This window comes from Homo sapiens, chromosome 19 (genome assembly GCF_000001405.40).
Source record: "Homo sapiens chromosome 19, GRCh38.p14 Primary Assembly".
Lineage (NCBI taxonomy): Eukaryota > Metazoa > Chordata > Mammalia > Primates > Hominidae > Homo > Homo sapiens.
Genome location: NC_000019.10, coordinates 33,409,296 through 33,430,791, shown reverse-complemented (window position 1 = coordinate 33,430,791; position 21,496 = coordinate 33,409,296). Strand labels below are relative to the sequence as shown.

The following is a 21,496-nucleotide window of genomic DNA, read 5'->3' as shown; positions in this document are numbered from 1 at the left end:
TGTCCACTGGGCAGAACACATCAGGACAAGAAGCCCCCTGGGGCCAGTGGGGCGAGGCTGGGGCGAGGGGAGCAGGTCTTTGACAGGTAGCTTTTATTTCTTCCCAAAAGTGTTTTCAAAATGAAAATAGCTTTACTCTGATAAAAAGATACATATGCCAGTAGGAAATCCAGTCAGTACAGAACATTATAAACAAGATAGGAAAAAAACCCTTTGATGCAGAGGCACACAAAACCTTATTGCTGTAGCAAACAGGCTTCCGGTCTCTCTGGGGCACAGACAGACGGGCTTTGATCTGCTGGGCTCACACTGGGCAGAGTTTTTGCAGCAGAAGTCTCTTCCTGGCAGTGAACTGGGGCACACTGGGGCTGCATCATAATCCACTTACCCAGACTGCCCCCGGAAGCCAGGTGGTTCCCAGTGTGAACGACACTTCGACCGTCAACCCTACCTCGCCGTCTCTCGGGTGTCAAACTGACCGTGTCCTTGGGGTAAACTCCTGCAAATGGAATTGCTGGAAAAATGTTGATGCCCAAAGCCCAGTGCCATCTAGAAAAGTTGTTCTCCCTTCACGGCTGGGGCTGGGTTAGTGTCTGGTGAGCAGATACCATGTCCTTCCCGGGGATGTTCTCATTTAATCCCGTGAGGGGGAGCGGAGAGGAGTGTGGCATCCTCTCTGCATTATAGAGACCCCACAGTAGACAGATGGGTCTTAGAGGAGCCAGGTGGCCTCTCTCCAGAAGCCATGTTCTCAGCCAGCGTGCAGGACACCCCTCCTCCCAAACCATGAGTGCCGGTGTGCCCACCCAGGCCTCAAGATTAATTGTGTTATTTCCATTATTCACCTTTATCATTCTGATTAGGGAAAAGTAATACCCCGTCTTTATTTTTGCTGATTTGATTACTGACGAGCTTAAACTTCTCTTGTAAGTATTTCTTGGGCATTTATCTTTGTGGGTTTTCAGTCCTTTGCCCATTTGCAATCGGGACATTTGTGGGTGACTTATTGCTCTGTAATTGGGCTCTTTGTACTATTGTTCTGTGTGTTGGAAATATTTTTCCCAATTTGATGTACAGAAATTGTAAATATCAGTTGTCATGTTGGTCCTTTCCTGTATAGTTTATGCCTTTGCGAAATTGCTTTTTCTACTACCTCAATATAATCCAGTTATCAGCATGTTTTTTCTATCTTTATAGTCTGATGACTTTCTTTTAAATAACAGTTTTTGCATAATTATGAAATATTTCAAACACTGCTGTGTATAGTTTAATAGATATCTGTGTATCCACATGGTTTCGTCTTTTATATTTAATACGTTAATTGAGCTAAACTGCATTTAAGAATAATATATAAACAAGGATTCTGGCTTTTCTGCCCCCGCGTAATTACTAAGTGACCTGTTGTCTTTGGAGTAATGTCTTTGCCCCCCATTGTAAAATTCCATTTTTGCTGTATTCTAAATTCCCAGGTGTATTAGTCAGTATAGGGTAGCCTTTGGGGTGGTAACAACAGAAACCCAGATCTCGGTGGCTTAGCACGGTAAAGGCTCATTTCTTGCTCATGCTGCCATCTGTGGCTGGCCCAGTGGCTCTCCTCCAGCAGGGATGCAGGGCTGCTTCCACTGCCCAACTCTGCCCCCTCTGAGAAGGAAGAGAGAGAACATGAAGAATTCACACCCACTCTTAAAAGCCATGGCCTGGAAGCAGCACATGTCATTTCATATTCCTCTTGGGATGAGAGTCAGTCCTATGGTCCCAGCCTAGCTGCAGGGAGGCTAAGATATGTGCCCAGAAAGAGGAAGCAGAGTGAACACAGGGCTAGATCTCCACTCGGGGCTGCCTGGGCAGACAGGGTTTCGGCTGCCTGTGGATGTGTGCGTATATGCATATGTGCATGTATGTGTGAATGTTCTTTGGATTGTTGGGCATGTTCAGGCCTGCTGTTCCTGCCATCCGTTACCCTTTCTTCACATGTTTACTGAGGACCTACTGTGTGCTCATCACTGTGGCCAGCCTTGGGTATGGGTGACATGGGCCTGCCTCTAGGAGTGCCCTTCAAGACTGGGAGGGAACGGGAGGGTGCCAGGCTGAAAGTTCTGCAGTGTAGAAGTGTGGGGAGGGACTTGCCTACAGAGGGCTTTTGGTGGTGAGAGGTGGGAGAAGCCCCTTGGGGAACCCAGGGAGATTTCTGGAGAGGGGCGTCAGCCTGGCCCACGGTGGTTTTGGATGGTAACTGGCGGTGAGCAGGAGGTGGAGCGTGGACATCCTCCCAGCTCCTGAAGGGCAGCAGCTGCCAGGAGTCCACTGAGACCCCTCTAGCCATGACCTCCTGGTGGGAAGGTGGGCCAGGAGGGGACCTGTTAAAGACTGGCAGGTGGTTGAGGGTCAGTGTGGAAGGTGTCCGATAGAAGGTGCTAGAAGTGGGTGGGCTTGGGATAGGTGTTGCTGTGGGTCCTGGAAGAGGGAGCTCGGGGTATGCTGGACAGGTGTGTGATGCCTGGGCTCCCTGCGGGGACCCAGCAAAGCACATCAGGAAACCCGGCATCCACGGGCGTGACTCCCTCTTCTGCATCCTCCAAGCCCTCCTTGGCACTGTGCGAATTTTCTAAATTTCAGTGGGTGGCGCTGGCGAGATGCTTCAGAGTGTGTGCAGGCTGGCGAGTAAAGTCAAGGAACTTCCTGGCTCCTGGCTATGCAGGAGGGGGGCCCAGACCCTCATCACATAACGACCACTTCTGTCTTCAAGCGTGTCTCTTACAAGGTGGGGGCCAGGAGAGTGCTGCCCAGAGCCAGTGCTTTGCCATGATCAGATTGCCGCCTGCCAGGACGGGGGTATGGGTTGCCTACAGGCACCGTCACTGCTGCACGGATCTCCGGGAGCAGGCTTCACACACACAATTCCTGCTAGCAATCTACTGGCTTTGGGGAGTAGTGTTGGTGTCATAAAGAAAGGATATTTAACTTTGCATCGATAGGCAAAGAATAATTAAGATATAATTAAAAGCACAAATTCTTCTAATTATTGGCTTCGTATAATGTATATTTAAAAACAAGATCTGTTAAGGCTTCCTTTTGAATATATCCAGAAGCCAAAAGAGGGTAGCATTTTAATTAAAAATGGATTATTTAAAAACCAGTTTAATCATCCTGTCATCCAAAGACTTAGACTTTATTAATTAGCTATTGATAAATAGGTTTAAGCTACCCCAAAGTTGAATTTGCAAGAGTTATTCCTGGCATCCTCCGATTGGAGGATTTTTTGGAACTTGCCCTGTGTCTCTGGGATGTCAGCAGCAAAGGTTTAGGACATGTGAGTTGGTTCTTAAATCGCCCCTCCCATCCTCTGTGGAGCCAAAGTGGACATCCTGCTGCAGGTGGGGACCGATGGGGGGCTCCTGGGGCTGTCCCACTTCCCCCATCTCCTACCTCTGTGCTCTGTGGCACGAGAGGGTGCTGAGGACCTGGATGGTGGCATCCGCACTGAGAGGTCCCCGATGGGGCACAGGTGCAGAACATGCTAGAGATGCCATGAGCCACGACAGCCTCCGCCTCCCCAGCTCCATGCTTGGAGTGCATCCCTGGCCAAGGCACTCCTCTTCTCAAGGCTGCTCTCTGTAGGGGCGGCGTGACTGCCACCCCCATTCATCATCTTAAGTAGATAAAGACTTTCAAAGTGATAAATAGCGTTCCTGTTGTTCCTTCAGCCAAGTGTGACTAAAATAACGTTTGGAGTCGTGAGTGAGGATGGAAAGGCTCATTAGAAGAGGGGTTGTCGGCAGTTCACGCCTAACAGCCGGTTCGCTGCCATAAAACACAGCCGCACGCGGTGGAGGGGCCCTGCCCACCTAGGGCCTGTCCAGGCTGGCCCTGACAGATGGTGTCTGGGCCTCCCTCCATGGCACATTTCGCTGCGTCCTGGGCCTTGTGGTTCCTGGATGCTTGGAAGAACCTTCTCAGAGAGGAGACGTCTTTCACAGGCATCTGTGGTCCTCGCTTCCTGCAGGTGCTGGGGATCTGGGGCTGCAGTGACCCAGCTCCTCCTGTTTCCTCAGTGACCCAGCTCCTCCTGGTTCCCTCCAGCCTAATGGGGTAGCCAAGGCCACCTGCTGCGCAGTGACCACTGGCTTGGCGCTGCCTCCCGGGTGACCAGGTCCCTGTATCCAGTGTCCTGTGCTCACAGTACCGAGAGTGGCTGTGAGTCCATGTGGACAGACTGCTTCTCCTCTCTTCTCCAGAGCCCTCAGCAGAGGACGATAGGGAGGGAACTGGGTACTAGACCCTCAGGATGAACTGAGTGAGTTGCAGGGGCTGCCCAGAGCTGGGCCCAGGTGCGACAGTGCTTTAGAAAGACATTGATAGGAAACAGCACTTTCCAGAGAAAGTTAGATCTGAAACGACACATTTGTGAAGTATTTTCAGATTGTAAGGCTGAAAAAGCAATTTGATGTTTAGAAATAAAGTAGTGCTGGACTCTTTCAAGACAAAACAGAAAAATGCCCTAGAGGGAATCCAAAGCAAAGCACTTGCTTTTTCTAGAAGGGGTGACTTGGGGATTCTGTCCTCACTCTACAAGGTGGGATCTGGGTGACTCCCACTGTTGCCCAGGCTGGAGTGCAGTGACATGAGACCTGAGATCCTCTGCCAAACATGTGTTCCCTAAATATTGAACCTGGGCCTGGCACAGTGGCTCACACCTGTAATCCCAGCATTTTGGGAGGCCGAGGTGGGAGGATCACTTGAGGCCAGGAGTTCGAGAGCAGCCTGGGCAACATAGCAAGATGCTGTCTCTACAAATATAAAATAAAATAAAATAAATTAGCCAGGTGTGGTTGTGCACACCAGTAGTCCTAGCTACTCAGGAGGCTGAGGCAGGAGGATTGCTTGAGCCCAGGAGTTTGAGGCTGCCATCTGGGGACTTGGGGAGCTTCTGAACCAAAGGCCTTGCCCAAGAACGAAAAACCAGGCTTTTCCTCAAAGAAGCCTTAAGGCGGGATCTCCCAGAGTTAGTCATTCCATGAGACACCCTGGCAGTTTTGGTCAAGTTCTTGTCTCACCTCTACTATTATCTGCTTAATCGTTTTCTTTCAATTGACTCATTTTTTTTCCTTTAAATATATGTTTTAAGATGCTTTTTATCCTCGTCATGAATGAAACCCAATCTAATTTGCCATTAACAGACATTAGCGCTTCAAGATAAATACCTAGTGCATGAAGGAAATATGCTAGTGGGGTACTACATAATGTCATCCCGTGGACTCGTATTGTGCTTTGGGAAATGTGAACTTAAAAGCAGCCCCTTCCCTCCCCTTGCCCCTGCTCGCCCCTCCAGAAAGCTCCCTGCATACCTGGCTTGCTTCCCCCACACCTTCCTGGGGAGGATGGAGACAGGGTGCCAGCGTTCCTTAGAGGGACAATGTGGCCTCTGGGTTGTGTTGAACTAGGATCATCTGCCACTCTGGCAAGCCTTTTTGTTTGTTTGTTTGTTTGTTTGTTTTGAGACTGAATCTCACTCTGTCGCCCAGGCTGGAGTGCAGTGGCGCATTACAGATGTGTGCCACCACGACTGGCTAATTTTTATATTTTGAGTAGAGACAGGGTTTCACTATGTTGGTCATGCTGGCCTTGAACTCCTGACCTCAAGTGATCCACCCGCCTCGGCCTCCCAAAGTGCTGGGATTACAGGTGTGAGCCACTGCACCTGGCCTCTGGCAATTCTTTTTGTTTCCTGGTCATGTGGTTTGAGCCTCTCTGGATGTATCTGAGGGTAACCTGGTTTTTATTGTTGTTGTTGTTTGTTTTTTTGTTTTTTTAAAGAGCTGGGGTCTGATATGGTTTGGCTGTGTGGATATTGAATCATGGGGGTGCTTTCCCCCATACTGTTCTCATGGTAGTAAATAAGTCTTATGAGATCTGATGGTTTTATAAGGGGAAACCCCTTCCACTGGTTCGCATTTTCTCTCTTCCCTGCCACCATGTAAGATGTGACTTGCTCCTTCTTGTCTTCCACCATGATTGTGAGGCCTCCCAAGCCACATGGAACTGTGAGTCCATTAAACCTCTTTTCCTTTATAATTACTCAGTCTCGGGTATGTCTTCATCAGCAGCTTGAAAATGGACGAATACCGGGTCTCACTAGATTGTCCAGGCTGGGCTTAAACTCCTGGACTCCAGCGATCCTCCCGCCTCATCCTCCTGAGTACACCATCACACATGCACCACCACACTGGCCTTCTGGTCCTTTTTAAAAGGGGGAGTTTTTGTTCTAGGGCCAAGAAAGGTGTCATCTCTACAGTCAGCATGGATTAGTGAGATTGGGTCAGACGCGAACAGGTGTGGATCCCAGAATAAGTCAGAGAACAGTTGGCCAATGGTGCTTGTGTTTACACAGCTCTTCCCAGGCCTTCCAAAGCCGGAGCTCCCTCGCTGGCTCAAGGTGCCAAACACAGGTCTAGAGTCACAGATTGCGAATTTCCCTCAAGGCGGGTACTGCGAGCTTTGAATTTCTTTCGGTTCTGTGTTGTCAGCCTCCCAGGCACCAGTCAAGTTCTGCCTCTGGTGTCCTGTCCTTCTTCCTGGGAATCAGTAGAGAAGGTACTTACTGGAGGGGGTCACTACAGGGCCAGCTGCTTGGGGAGGGGGTGGACTTGCCCTGAAAGCCCCAGTGAGGGCAGTGGGAAGTCCCAGCACAGGAGCAGGTGACAGGCGCAGCCCCCAACCACCCTTATTATGTAAAGGATTTATCTTTCAACAAGATGGTGCTCCAAGCCAGCGCACAAGGGGCAGTTAGTGAAAGCAAAGAAAATAATCAAATGGCATTCTGCCTCATGACCTACATCACAATAAATTCTAGGTTCATTGATTAAGTAAATGTGCAAACAGGAAGCCCACAAAAGATGATAGAGTTTATATAATCATAGGGGTAGGGAACGACTTCTTAAAGGAAGAAGCCATAAAGAAAAAAATGTAACAGATCTAGCCAATAAAAATGTAAATTATCTGTCCAGAAATGCCATAAAGAAAATTAAGGAGCAAAGGGGAAACTTGTTACATAAATGATAGTCAGATCCACTGCCTGTGTTCTTCCTGTATAAATCCCTTAAGGATCAATAAGAAAATGATGAACATTCGCAGTTTTTAAAAAAGGAACAAGCCATTCAGAAAGGAAGAAATGTGAGGAAGTAGACATATAAGCATATTAAAATTTGTCAGTTCATCAGTGAAACAGTGAAATACTTTTGTGTTTTACCCACCAGGTTCCCATTCCTGTGGGCAGACGAGCCTTGCAGTGTGCTGCTCAGGACCCCAAAATCCTTATGAGTGTTCAGGGGTCCTTTTTGCAGAACATGCCCTGAGAATTGGAAATGTGCATTTGGTCAATAATCTCCCTTCTAGGAATTTAGCCCGAGGACAGTGAAGAGGCACAAGGCCATGCGTGGCCATCATACAGAGAGGCAGAAGAAGCCTCCATCTCTAACAGCAGGAAGTTGGTTAAGTAAATTAGAGGCTGTGGTGCTGCTCATACAGCCATTCACTTATTCAGTCACTCAACAGAGGTATACCAAAGACTTCTGATGTGCCAAGCACTGTTCTGGTCTCTTGAGGGATACTACAGTGAACAAAAAGATAAAGCTCAAGCCTAATGGGAGGCTAGAGATGGTTGGATAGATGGATGGATGGATGGATGGATGGATGGATGATAAGTAGGTAAGTATGTAGGCTGATATAGATGATCATCACCTTGATAGATGATGGATGGATAGATAGGATGATGGCTGGATGGATAGACGATAGGTAGGTAGGTAGACATAGAAACAGATAATTGACAGAGTATTGGATGAGTAGATAGAGTGATAAATGGATAGATGATACGTAGGTAGATACAGAAATAGATGATTGATAGAGGAATAGATGGATGGGTGGATAGATATAGAGAGATGGATGGATGGATAGATGGATAGATAGATAGATAGATATAGAAGGATGGATGGATGGATAGATAGAGGGAGGGAGGGATGGATCAATGATAAGTAGGTAGGTTGACAGAAATAGATGATTGATAGAGGGATGGATGGATAGATGGGTAGATGGATGGTAGATGGAATGGATGGATGGGTGGATGGATGGGTAGATGGATGATAGGTACGTAGGAGGTAGGTAGATAGATGATAGAGGGATGGATGGATGGATGGGTAGTTGGATTGCACTTAGGTAGATAGGTAGATATAGAGTGATGGATGGATGGATGGGTAGATGGATGATAGGTAAGTAAATAGATGATAGATGGATAGGTGGATGGGTAGATGGATGATAGGTAGATGATAGAGTGATAGATGGATGGGTAGATAGATTATAGGTAGGTAGATGATAGGTAGGTAGATCTAGAGTGATGGATAGATGGATGGATGGGTAGATGGATGATAAGTAGGTAGATATAGGCAGATGATTGATTGATTGATTGATGGGATAGCTAGATAAACATGTCAGATGGTGGTGAGGGTTACAGGGGAGGGAGCTACCTTTATCCAGGGACTCAGGATGCCTCCCTGTGAAGGGGAGGAGAGACCTGAAGGGGGAGAGAGAGCATGCTGTGGCTTTCTGGGGTGGACATTCCAGGCAGAGAGAAAAAGCTGTTCCAGTGGCCTGGTGGGAACTTGCCTGGCAGTTCCAGGAGCAGCGCGGAGTTCGACTAAGAAGACAAGACAAGACAGGGGAGTAAGGGGGAGGTGGGCTGCCGATGGGAAGCCGGGGTTGGTGTGAGCAGAGGAGTCCTGTGATTCTACTTAAGTTGTGGAAGGATCCGTTTGTGGAGCACACTCTGTAGGGGACAAGGGCTGAAGCAGGGGGGCCAGCCAGACCACCATCACCATTCACCATCCCCAGCCACCATCGCCATCTCCCAGGGGAGAGAGAACCTTGGCCTGCACCAGGGAGGGAGTTGTGGTGGTGCGGAGAAGTGGTCAGATTCTGGACATAGTGACAGCATTAAATATAAAAATAGGCCAGGCACAGTGGCTCACACCTGTAATACCGGACCTTTGGGAGGCCGAGGTGGGAGGATCGCTTGAGCCCAGGAGTTCCAAACCAGCCTGGGCAACGTAGCGAGACTCCCATCTCCACAAAACATATAAAAAAAATTAGCTGGGCATGGTGGTGCATGTCTGTAGTCCCAGCTACTCAGGAAACTGAAGGGGGAGAATCACTTGAGCCCAGGACTTTGAGCCTGCAGTGAGCTGTGATTGCACCACTTCACTCCAGCCTGAGCAACAGAGTGAAACCCTTTCTCTAAAAATAAAAATGAAAAACAAAAATAAAAAGTACATACATGTATCTGTTGATAAGGAAAATGTTCTTTGCTTTAACAAGAACCTTCAGTGGGTCAGCCCAGCCCCTGCGCTGGACCGGGCTAGGCTGTTTGTCCTTGCAGACTTGTTTCAGCCCAGTTTGGGCCCCATTCACAGGTATGGAGAGGAGGAAGTTTCAGGACAGTGACCACAAAGATGTGACTACTCAGAAAACCTGTTGGGCTTTGTCTACTAAAGCTGACCCCCCAAAAACCCTGTGACACAGCATTTCCACTCCTGGCTGTTTGCTCAACCAGAGATGCATGCATGGGCCCCAAAAGACTGTACAAGAACTCATGGCTGTACTACCCATAATAGCTGTGATCTGGAAACAACCCGAACGCTCACCCACAGAAGAATGGAGAAACACACGGGGGCCCACCCCCGCAGTAGAACACCGGCCAGCAGTGAGAACCAACCAGGGACTGCTGCCCACCTAGACGGGTCCACAAACATTGTGGCAGCGGAAGCAGCCAACGCAAGAGACCATATTGTTTGATTCCATTTACATGAAGTTAAAAAATAGGCAAACTAATCTATGGTGATAGGAGTCAGGCTGCCCCTGGGGAAGAGAGACTGACCAGGAGGGGGGCCAGGCACACAGGCGTGCCCAAGTTGTGCTGGGCCATTGTGCTGTGTCTGTAGGATTTGAGTTCTTTTCTGTATGTATGTCCCACTTCTGTAAAAAGGTGAGTTTTTTTTTTAATTACAGCTAATCATTTTTATTTATTTATTTATTTATTTATTTTGAGACAGAGTCTGGCTTTGTCGCCCAGGCTGGAGTGCACTGGTGCGATCTCGGCTCACTACAACCTCCGCCTCCCAGGTTCAAGCAATTCTCCTGTCTCAGCCTCCCAAGTAGCTGGGATTACAGGCACCTGCCACCATGCCTGGCTAATTTTTGTGTTTTTAGTAGAGACGGGTTTTACCATGTTGGCCAGGCTGGTCTCGAACTCCTGACCTCAGGTGATTCACGCACCTTGGCCTCCCAAAGTGTTGGGATTACAGGCGTCAGCCACCACGCCCGGCCACAGCTAATTATTTTTAAAATAATTATTAAATATTAATCTGTGTTTATACCTTTAAAAAAAATGCCTGGAAGAATGTTCAACAAAATATTGGATAGAGAAGACCTCTGGGTGTTAACACGATCAGTGACTTTTTTTCTTTGTGCAGAGAATTTCTAAGACTTCTCCATGTACATATAAAACATAAGTATATTACAGTCTGATGAGCCAGGCTTGGGGACGGAGAAGGAGATAGAATGTTTTATCCGTAACTGATCCGAGGAACTCCGAAACTCAACCTAATCAAGCACGTTGAAAATAAAGGGGAAGATTTGTTAATTGAATGTCATGTTATGTCCTCAGTTATGCTTAATACAAGATAGGCAATTTAGAATTCCCAATTATCCAATTAAAATGCTAATTATCTTGTGCCTTGATAAGGCAGCTCTCAGAGAGAGAGTGAGCTGCTCCTGTCTGTTGTGTCTCTTCCTCCTGCTGTGACCGCTGCTGTCTTGGCCGCTGCCCTTGCCTGTGATTGGCGGATCCCCCCTTCTGGGCGGGGCCTCAGCATCCCAGGCCTCTCTCAGACCCCAGCTCCTGCTTTCCACCGGCTGGCCTGGGGCTCCTTCGCCCAGGACTTGGTGGGCCAGTTGTCCTTGCAGACCCTTTTCTGCTCAGTTCTGGCCTTGTGCATGGGTGCAAGGTCAGGGCTCCGGAAGGCGTTAGCCATGGCATCACCCACTGCCAGTGTTTATGGAGTTGAAGCTTTTCCCTGCATCTTCTTCAGCCTTCACAGCAAGCCCCGAGGTCAGCACTGTTCCAGCCCCCACCTACTGACAGACCTGAGGTTTCAGAGGCATCCGGGTCAAAACCATAAGCTTTGCAGTCGGAGACCCTGCGTGGACTCCGAGCCCGAACACGGATTCAGTGGGTTTCCTGACCCCAGCCCGTCATTGTTCTGACTGCAGCATCCTCTGTGCAGTGGGAAGATCCCTCAGCCCCCAAAGGGTTGTTATCATGCTAAATGCTGCAGTTGACTGTTCAGTTTTTCTTACTGGAGCAGCTACACAACCTGCCTCAAGCCTCAGACTGAGTGGGCAGCAGGGCCTGGATTGAATCAGTCTGCCCACCCATCCCCACAGTGCAGTGCCTTGTGGGGCTCCCTGGCAGGAGCTGAGTAGTCAGGGAGAGTGATCTGGGCAGCAGTGGGGCTCCAGGAGTGTGACTTCATCTGCTTGCCCACATGGAGATGGTCCATGCAAGCCCAAGAAGCCTGGCCCCATATACCCTGTGACCATGCTGGCTGGCCTTCTGGAAGCCCTGGTGGGAAGGTGTTGCCCCAGGTCAAACAGTCTCTGTCTGTGGGCCAGGACTGGTGTAGGAGCGGCAGGAAGAGGGAGTGAGGAGCTCCGGGCAGCAGAGCAAGCTGCTGAAGCCGAGCACCGCATCTGCTGCAGACGGCCTGTGTCTGACGCTGCCATGTTGGTGCCGGCTACACGGTGATGCTGACCAGCTCTCCGCTAGCACCAGTTTTATTAATCATGCATTTCTGGCTTTAGTCCGAGGCTTCAGGTCAGTCCCTTCTTGGTGACACATCACGTGAATGCCTCTTGCTCATTTCAGGCACTCGGAGCCTCAGAGGGTGCTCATTCCTAGCTTTGTCTGTGTTTGTCGTCATGCTGGGGCCTGGGGAAGGGGAGGCACGCAGCAGTCCCCCAGTTCACTGCCAAGTCCCAGTACCTGCTCTTTGGAAGACCTACGGGGAACAGTGCTAAAAGAGCCAGGACCTGCCTGGGAGTTGGGGTCCTGGATAGGTCGCTGGTGCCACCCAGGCGGCGATTCCAAGGGTAGGGCTTGGGCGCCTTCGCCTGTGCCTTCTGATGACCCACTGGTCACCCCAGAAGAAGGGCGTGGAGCAGCTCCCCTCCTTCCATGGGAATTCAAGAAGAATGTAGTACGTGCTTCTGGTTCCATGCAAAAGGAGCTATGCCAGGGCTCCACTGGTAGAAACATCCGGTTTTGGCTCCAAGTCCTCCATAGTAGCTGCTCCCACTTTGGGGACCATAAGGCACGCTCTGCTCGGCCTGAGGTGTCTCAGGGCATCCCCTGCAGGACTGTATGGCCCTTACTCTGAAAAGGATTTTCCCTTAGTAAGTGGTGTATCACGTTAATGACACAATTATGGTCATGTGTACCCAGAAAATATCGCAGCAATTACTTAAAATAAATGTGAATTATAAGCAACTTAGTGCTGAGACGACTATACACAGCACAACTGCTTGGCCCCAAACATCATGAGGTACTTCTCACTCTCTGTGGCTCTCTCCCTCTTATGTGCCCCAGTCCTGGGCGCACCCCGGGAAGGCGGGGACCCTGGGTCAGCTCCGTGAGGGCGAGGGGCAGCTGTGAAGGGATGGTGGGCACAGGCCCCCTCTGTCCAGCCAGAAGCCTGTCTGTGCGCACGTGTCCCGGTAGCTGGTGCAGAGGACACACCTCCGCGTTTTTGCTGGTGAACATCCTGGAGATGCTGGGAGTGTGTGGGCCCAGGAAGGACTTCTGTAGAGAACTTGGCTGCCTGGAGGGTGCGGGAGTGGGTGTCCGGGCCGTGGACCTATGCAGATTCTGTTTGGTTTTAAAGGAATAGTCAAGAGGCTGTTTCTCAAAGCCTGGCACAGGATGCCCACGACCTCCTCTCCTGCTGCCTGAGGAGGGATCCCCATTCTCCAGCCTCCCTCCAGGCCTCTGAACAGTGACCACGATGGCTAGGTCACTGTACACAGAGCTCCTTGGGTACCAGGCACCATTGTGTATACTCCATGTATGTTAAATCATTCGACTGGCATAGCAGCCCTGGGAGGGAGGCACCGCTATCATCCCCATTTTACAGATGAGGAAACTGAGGCACGGAGAGGCCATTCAGCTGGCCAGCAGCAGAGCCAAGATTTGCCCTTGAGGTTGGTGTTGAGTCCCAGAAGGCTGGGTATGTGGGGCCCAGAGCAGGGAGCCCAGCACAGGGACCGGGGTGCGGAACACACCCTCCCCACCTCAGGTTTGTAACCCCATGTCCCAACTACCTGCTTTCCTAAGCCCTCTGCCCAGCTGAGGGGGCTCCACCAGCTCTGCGCATTTTCACTCCCAAGCTTCTGTTTCCGGCCCAGCCTCCCCTCTCCACCTCTTGAGTACCTGAGATCCATTGAGGCCCAGCCGGGGAAAGGGAATGATGTGGCCAGGGCCACCCCTTACACTGCCTCACTAACCTCTTCGGCGCTACCCCACCCATGCTCGAGGCACATAGCTTGGCCGACACTTGCTGCCAGGCAGCCCTTCTACCGCTGTCTGGGCAGCTGCAGCATTTTTATAGGACTGTGACTCGTCTTCATGTTAGGTGATAAACTTCTGAGGGCAGGAGCTGGGCCGTGTGCCCGGGAGCGCTCCACGGGCTGGATTTGTGGGTCCCAGTGGGAGGCCCAGCGACGCCGTCTCTGGGGACCCCATTCCTGCAGATCTGGGTCTGGGAACTTGCTGCTCCTGCCCCATTTGTCATCTCCTGGCACTGACAGATGTGCCTGCCCCACTGACACTGCAGTAACTCCATCCACCTCGTTATTCACCACTCATGCAGTTCCCCCAGGTTGCTTAAGGGCTCTCTCACTTATGCCTGGATACAAGCCTCTTCTACCCGAGTCTTGCCTGGGAGAAATTTATAGGTGAGGGTGTTAGAGGAATGGCCACATAAGGAAAAACAACGGGGCCCACACAGCAGCCGGGATGTCGTTGGCTGGGACTTAGGCAGACCACGGCCTCCTCTCAGCCAATCAGGAAGCCCCTCCCTGCTGCTGGGGAGGAGGTGCGCGCTGGGCTTGAGCCTGGCTGGGGTGTGTGTACCACCCCATCCGCCTTCCAGGTGAGCAGGAGGGAGCAGGGGCTGTTAGACCCAGCTGGTCCGGGGCTGCACGATGTGAGTCATAAATTTATGGAAGGAGCCTATGGAGATGGTCGCAGTGGGGCGGTGACACTCCTGCCTGTCTTGCTGGCTGCTGCCCTCTGCTGGAGAGCCTGTTCCAGGTGTTAATTATTTTGGGTGGGTAGTAGCTAGCCTGCTCCAGGGATGACTTGGCTGGACCCCTCCTGCCTCGCACTTGGAGGAGTTGTGATGCTGCCACTGCCATGGCATGTCGGTCATCCACGGGACAGGCTGTTAGCCTGTCCTCATAGCCCACACTTGCTCCTGGTCATCCCAGCACCACTCGCCAAGCTCTGGCCCAGCTGTGCGGGGGCACACGTTGCGTCCGCATCAAGCATGGGCCCCAGTTTGGAATGTCCACCCCTCAGTGCTCACCGCTTGAAGATCAGAACTGTGCCGCGCCGGGCTCACACGCTTCCACAGGCCCCCTGTGCCGCCACAGCTGCCCAGAACTTGGGTGCCCTTGTGCGTCCACACCCCAAGCCTAAAGTCTGCAGAAAACGTGGGCTCGTTTTGCCCACCTGTTATTGCCACCAAAGCACCAGTGTGTCCTCAAGTTGCGTCAGAAAAGGTCATTTAAAACAAAATTCAGGACTGAAGTCCACTGTGAAGCATTTCAGCTTTTTTTAGGCGGGCGTGAATATCCAGCACGTGGTGCTCCTCCTCTTTTCAACTCCTTCCTATGGAACAGTGTGTGGAGTTGTCAACGTGGCCGGCAAAGGTGACCAGTGTCGGGCTGCACTTTGCAGGTGAAAACTGGGTCAGCCTTTCTTTAGTTTGATGCTTCTGTGAGCTGTGCCTTCTTGAAGGCACTATTTTTTTCTTAAAAAGCAGCAAAGGCATTCAAAGACAGTTGTCTCCACTGAGTGGGTTATGCAGGGGGAAGCTTGCTGCAGGCGAGAGAGCCAAGTTTCCTCACTGCCTCCCCTTTCTGATGTTTTTTTCTTGTATTGATTGATTGATTGATTTTTTGAGAGCTGGGGTCTTGCTGTGTTGCCCAGGCTGGTCTTGAACTCCCGGCCTCAAGCAGTCCTCCAACCTTGGCCTCCCAAAGTGCTGGGATGACAAGTGTGAGCCACTGCGCCCGGCCTGCCGCTCCTTTCTTGTAGAATATGTGAGTTCCTCTGCACATGCGGATGGCATCTCTGTCCCTCTGCCTGTCTTTTCTGAAGCCGGCCAGTCCCAGCGCAGCCCGTGGTTGTCTGCAGGTCACTTGTCCCACAGAGGTCCGCTGTCGCCATCACGTCGAGAATGACCATGTGACCTCTGAGGTTCGCTTCTGTTGGTGCAGGACCACATCTCACAAAGCCAAGGGAGCACCCCTGTTCCACGGCGTGGGTCAGGCCTCTTCTCGGGCTTTCTGGGAGGGCGCCACAGAGGTGTGAAGTGGCTTCTGAGGCTGCCTGTCTGGCCTGGCGCACAGGGCTTGCCATGTGGGGCACTGCCCTTGCCTGCCTTGGTAGGAACGTGCCTGGACTGTGGCGAAACTCAGCGCTGAGACTCCCAGGAGCGAGGTGGAAGCGGCCTCCTGAGCGCTTGCACCACGAATACGGGGGCGGCTGAGGAGAGGAGCATGTGGCTTTCTTGCTTCCCTGGCAGCTCCTGAAATCCTTTCTTTTCAGGAAATATTTCACTCGCAGATACCCAATTATCCTGTGAGGTTTGGAAGGCAAGTCTGAAAGCCCATTGAATCTACCACAGCCGTTCCTGCATAACAACTGCTTAATATCCAATCATGACAATTATACATAATTTGTGTTGACAGTGCCTAGAAGATGAAACTCCCTCGTATGGACGTTCTCTAAGGCAGGCCTGGAACGTGCAGGGCAGGACCGCCATGTGGCGTGCCCTTGGGCGGCCGCAACGACTGCCCTGGTCGGGGGTGGGCGGGTGGGGGCCACCTGGGCCTGTCTCACGTGGTGGCAGGTGGACCAGCTGTGGTCCGGCAGGAAAGCTGTTGCCGAGGCCTCAGGGAGGGGGTGAGGGCAGCTCCCCACGACCACACCCCTCACCAGCTGGGTTCAGTAGAGGAAGACCAAGGCAGAATGGCTCAGTCCCTTGGAGCTCAAAGATCCATGCAGTGACTGTGCTACCATCCGCCATCCTAGAGGCCTCCCCGGTGCAGGTTCTGGGCTTAGCCTGGGGCCAGGGCTTGTCTTTCTCTCCAGACTTGGCTGTGGCCCTACCCGCTCAGGGTGGGAGCTTGTAGAGTGGGCCCAGCCAGCAGGCAGCTCGTTCCAAGGAGGGAGAAGCAGGATGTGTGCCCCAGGCCTTGCCTCTCCCACATCCCTGGAGACCACCCTGCCCTGCCCCACCTGCAGGAGGCCTGTCCCTTGCCCCTTCTGCCCATAGCTCCTGTGCCCTCTCCCCGGGTGAGCGCAGGCCGTAGATCCAGCCCCTCCTGGCAGGGTGGGTGGTGGCCTCTGGGCACGGAGTCACAGGGAATCACTTCCTCCAGCTCTGCAGAAATGTGTGGCCTCTGCCCCAGCCCGGCTTCCCACAGGGCGCAGGCTCCAGGAGTCCCATCTGTCCTGATGTGCCTGGGAAGCCACTCGCCATGGCAGTCAGTGGAGGCTGGCGAGCTCCTCTGGCAGGTGGCTGCGCCCTGCTGGGCCCCCAGCTTCTCTGTCACTCCACACTGGCCTCTGAGATTCTGCAGCCTATGACTGACCCCCAGGCTGTAAGCCTCACAGACTCACACTGAGAGTTTGGACCATTGTGGGGCCACGGCAGGGGAGACCATGGGCCGAGGGCCTTCCCTTGGGGTTCATGGGGCTCGTGGAGTGGGGTGTGCCTGCTCTAGTGCCCCAACCCTGACGCGTCTCTCCCCCTGCAGCCTCTTCGAGCACTACTGCTACTCCCGGGGCGGCATGCGCCACAGCTCCTACACCTGCATCTGCGGCAGGTAAGCGGGGCACCCTGGCTCCCCTGGGGGTGACCAGTGGGAGGAGGTAGGGCAGTTAGTGAGTGGGGGGCTCCACCATCCCCCAGCTCAGCCACACTTGCTCACTCACACGCCCACACCAGCGCCCGGCCCAAGCTTGGAAGTCGCTCCTCCCTCCCAAGACTCCCGGAGCTGAGGTGGCCTCTGCCTGCAGGACCTGGCACTGGGTGAAGGAGGGAGCATGGCCTGCCCACTGCAGAGGGGCTGCTTGGCGTCCCCTCCCTCCTGTCCCCAGCTGGTCAGCACAGCAGCTAAGCACAGGAAGGCCACTCCTCCACACGGGCACACACACAGCATGTGGGGACCGGGCTGTGAGCTCAGGCTGGGCAGCTTCTGTGTGCAGCAGGGGTGGAGTGTGGAAGGGTCAGTGCAGAAAGTGGTGGTGGTGTGTCTATGTGGGTGTGGCTGCGTGGGGACCAGTGCTGCTGTATGTGGGTGTGCATGTCACTGTTGGTGTGCCTGCTCGTGGCACATGGTGCCGAGGGGCAGGGCTCTGTGTGGGTGTGTGCGCTTGGGTGTGTGCCATCAACACCTGGCTGGGTGTGCTTGGAGGCACACACATGGTAGAAATGACAGTGATATGGGATCATTGCCATGCTGTGTGGGCCATGCACAGCGGCATGTGTCCCTTGGGGTGTGTCTGCCCCCACATGCGTCCTGGCTGTGGGCGTGGCCCCCTCGTCTCCTGCGCTCTCCCAGCCAGTCTCCCTGCTCTCTGCCCCTCGGGTCTGGCCCCTGCCCGGCCAGGATGGAGCCAGGCAGCTCTGCCAATGCGCACGTCCCCGGCACATGAATAATACATGTGAAATCTCAGTCCTTGGAAATGTTCTTCTCTGGTGGATGGAGAGAAAACCATTATTTCTACTTTTATGATTCCCAAGACTCCTGAGCAGGGCCATAAATATTACACCCAGGTGGGGGTTTCCTTCCCCCCTTTGGACAGACTTAAAAGTCCTTTTTTTCTTAAAGGCATCGCTCATTAGGGAAGCCTTCTCAGGCAGAGGAGCGAGGATCCTCTTGGTTTCCTCTCTCTCCAGCCTGGTCAGGACGCCAGGGCAGCTCCAGGACAGCCGGGGCCCTTTCCATAGAGGCCCTCTCCCCTTTGGCCACCAGGAAAGGAGGGGTTCCGTAGGGCCCTTCTCCAGGCCCAGGAACTGCTGTTCCCCTTTTTTGCTCTTTTTTTAATTTAAAGACAGGGTCTCCCTCTTTTGCCCAGGCTGGAGTGCGGTGGCATGATCATAGCTCATTGCAGTCTCCACTTCCCAGGCTCAGGTGATCCTCCTAGCTCAGCCTCCTGAGTAACTGGGATTACAGCTGTGAGCCACCTAACCCAGCTAATTTTTTTTGCATTTTCTGTAGAGGTAGGGTTTCGCCATGTTGCCCAGGCTGGTCTCGAACTTGTGGGCTCAAGTGATCTGCCTTTCTTGGCCTCCCAAAGTGCTGGCATGACAGGCGTGAGCCACCACACCCGGCCCATTGCTAAGTTTTACATGTGTTCCACATGATGCCCACATCCCAGCCCAGAGGGCAGCCGCCTAACGACGCCTTCAGCCAGGAGGCTCTGCCTGCAGACTGAGGCTGGTTGCCAGCCATGTGACTGCGGGGTGACAGGGCCACCATGTCCCCCGGCCTTACCTCTGGCTGTGGACCTGGTCCAGCCACGCCTGGGCCTGTGCTGGAGGTGGGGACAGTGCTGCTCATGGGCAGGGGATCGAGCATCCACCCCCTCCTTCAGAGCCTGCTGCAGAAGAATGGGCTTTGATCACCCTCCCCCGGCTCTTTGCAGTGGTGAGAACTCAGCCGTGCTACACTACGGACACGCCGGAGCTCCCAACGACCGAACGATCCAGAATGGGGATATGTGGTAAGTAGGGCCAGCGGCCCTGGCTCTGTGTGTGAACAGCCAGGCCAAGGTTGGACTCAACTTCAAGATGGCCCAGAAGCCTCTGGGTCCCTGTCCTGAGAGGGCTGACCACAGCAAGTCCCTGGGCTTCTTGGCCCAGACTTCTCTGCCAAGGCTATCGGCCTGCGTGGTGCCTTCTCCAGGGCCAAAAGCCTGCACCCCCCAGGGAGCACTGAGAGAGAGGGTGCAGGAGAGGGGCCCCCGATGGTTTCCTGTGGGCCATGGGATTGTGGGCTCTCTGAGGGGGCCTGAACCATCCCCAGCCTCTGTCCAGGCTGTCCTCTCCGTTCAGGGGGCACCACGCTCGCATCTTTCTGTCTTGGTGCCAGGAGGGCAGGCCTCTTGGTCTGGAGCTGGGAAGACCGCAGGGAGCCTCCCACGCTCTGAAACCTGCCATCCTCCTGCTGCAGGAGCCCGTGGCCTCTGCGGCCCTGCGTTCAGCAAGTCAGCAGTGCTGACCCGTGGCTGCGTGCAGGGCTTTCCTGAGCACGATGTGCCGTGCTCACAGTTCTTCATAGAAGCCACGACAAGGAGATGTGGGCAGGCCCTGCGGCCTCCGCCCCTCGGGTAGTCTTTTCTCTCATTGGAGGACTTGCAGTCCTACCCACAGCCCCTCGGTGTGCAGGGCAGAGCAGCTGGGCCGCTGCCCCGGGGCAGGGAGGAGGTGTGTGAGTACTTGCAGCCTGGCCTCTGCTCAGTCCCTCCGCGTTCTTTGCCTGTGCCCTGCACGTCAGATGTCAGCCAGGGCCAGCCCAGGCAGTGCAGAGCTCCTGAGAGCTACCCCAGTGCTGGAGCCCTGGGGCTCAGCCACAGCCACGCAGGCCCTGTCTTGGCCTCCAGACATTTCACTGTGGTCACTGACTAGCAGAGGATGTGCCTTGTCCCTCCCAGTTCTTTGGTGCCCTTTCTTCTATGGCAGATGCACCCGAACAAGCCTCCTGCAGAGCCCTCTGCCCCCCAGCAGCATGGCATGTCCTCTGAGGCCTGCGTGGCGCCCAGCTGGGCTGCCTCCGCCTTCCCATCGAGGAGCCACCCCAATGTGCCAGCTCCTCCAGCGGGAGTTCCCATGATGGCTGCTCACCGGCCTGGACCCCGCCTCACCCTACAGCAGGTAGTCGTGGGAGCCCACCCCCCAGAGTCCCCAGCCATGCCCACTGAAGGACAGGAACACACATGCCCAGACCTATGGACAGACAACCAGCTGCCCAGAGAGCTGCCGAGCGTTGAGCTGTCAGGGCCGAGTATTTGCAGGAACACACTCAGTCTCGGGGTCCTCCCTGCCCTTGGGCACATGGCCTACTGAGACTGCCCGGGCTCCCCGCTCACCCAGGTCCATAGCTGATGAGCTGTTCCAGCTCAGGCCATGCTGGCAGGAGCTCAGCTCAGACCTTGGGTGGGGCCAGCATATGCCGCCACAGTAGGGCTGTGTTAGGAACACGGCAGGTTGAGGGTGCAAGCGGAGGCAGGCCAGTGGAACCGCCACCCACTGCGCGCTGGGCCTTAGTGGACTCCCTGGCCTACCCGACAGCACTGGCTCCACGGATCCTGGTTCACTCTGGCACCACAGTGAGCCCCACAAATGGTGGGCGAGTCCCCAGTCCCCCCTGCGTAGCCACCGTGCTCGGGGCTGGGAGGGTCAGAGCGGAGCTCAGCTTTCCTCCTACATGCCTGGGGCCACAAGGTGACTGGGCCCTTCTTCTGGGTCTCTGTGGATTTTCTCACCCACTCCTCGCCCTGATCCTGCGATGTAGGCACCTCACCCCATGTGTGGGCCAAGGAACTCAGACACAAGGAGGGCACCAGGCCCAGGTGTGAGGCCAGAGGCACTTGGGGAAAGAATTGGCAAACTCAGACTTGGCTCAGCAGGGGACTAGAGCAGGAGAGGGGGTGGCAGCCCTGCCCCCACACCGTGGACCCACCAGTGGCTCCAGACACCACCTGGTGTCCTGAAACTTTTTAAGAGACGGTCTTGCTCTGTCTCCCAGGCTAGAGTGCAGTGGCACAATCATAGCTCACTGCAGCCTCAAACTCCTAGGCTTAAGAGATCCTCCCACCTCAGCCTCCCGAGTAGCTGAGACTACAGGTACAAGCCACCATGCCCAGCTAATTTTTTTATTTTTAATATTAAAAAGACAGGGTCTCACCATGTTGCCCAGGCTGGTCTGGAATTCCTGGACTTAAGTGATCCTCTTGCCTCGGCCTCCCAAAAGTGCTGGGATTACAGATGTGAGCCACGGTGCCCAGCCCTGAAACCTTTTCTAAAGCTCTTTAACCCTGTAGCGCATTCTGGCTGGGCCTGGAGGACAGGACATGGGAACCCAGTCTCACGGCAGAGGC

General features: G+C 53.6%; 1 protein-coding gene across 3 annotated transcripts in view, besides 2 other annotated features; it reads left to right on the top strand.

Moving 5' to 3' along the window:
* Positions 1 to 21,496, top strand: part of PEPD (peptidase D) — a 134,842-nt gene that overhangs the window by 91,000 nt on the left and 22,346 nt on the right. For all 3 annotated transcript variants that reach the window (NM_001166057.2, NM_001166056.2, NM_000285.4), the window contains 2 exons: positions 17,149 to 17,217; positions 19,043 to 19,120. In NM_001166057.2, the coding sequence (NP_001159529.1) occupies positions 17,149 to 17,217; positions 19,043 to 19,120 (147 nt within the window). The remainder of the gene's footprint in view (positions 1 to 17,148; positions 17,218 to 19,042; positions 19,121 to 21,496) is intronic.
* Positions 11,516 to 12,401: an enhancer, noted in NCBI's record as "H3K4me1 hESC enhancer chr19:33909297-33910182 (GRCh37/hg19 assembly coordinates)". NCBI's record gives its function as "activates a minimal SCP1, AML or CMV promoter by ChIP-STARR-seq in naive H9 embryonic stem cells {active_cell/tissue: H9 hESC(naive)}" and the evidence as "EXISTENCE:reporter gene assay evidence [ECO:0000049][PMID:30033119]".
* Positions 14,308 to 14,457: an enhancer, noted in NCBI's record as "active region_14446". NCBI's record gives its function as "activates an Ori minimal core promoter by ATAC-STARR-seq in GM12878 lymphoblastoid cells {active_cell/tissue: GM12878}" and the evidence as "EXISTENCE:reporter gene assay evidence [ECO:0000049][PMID:35858748]".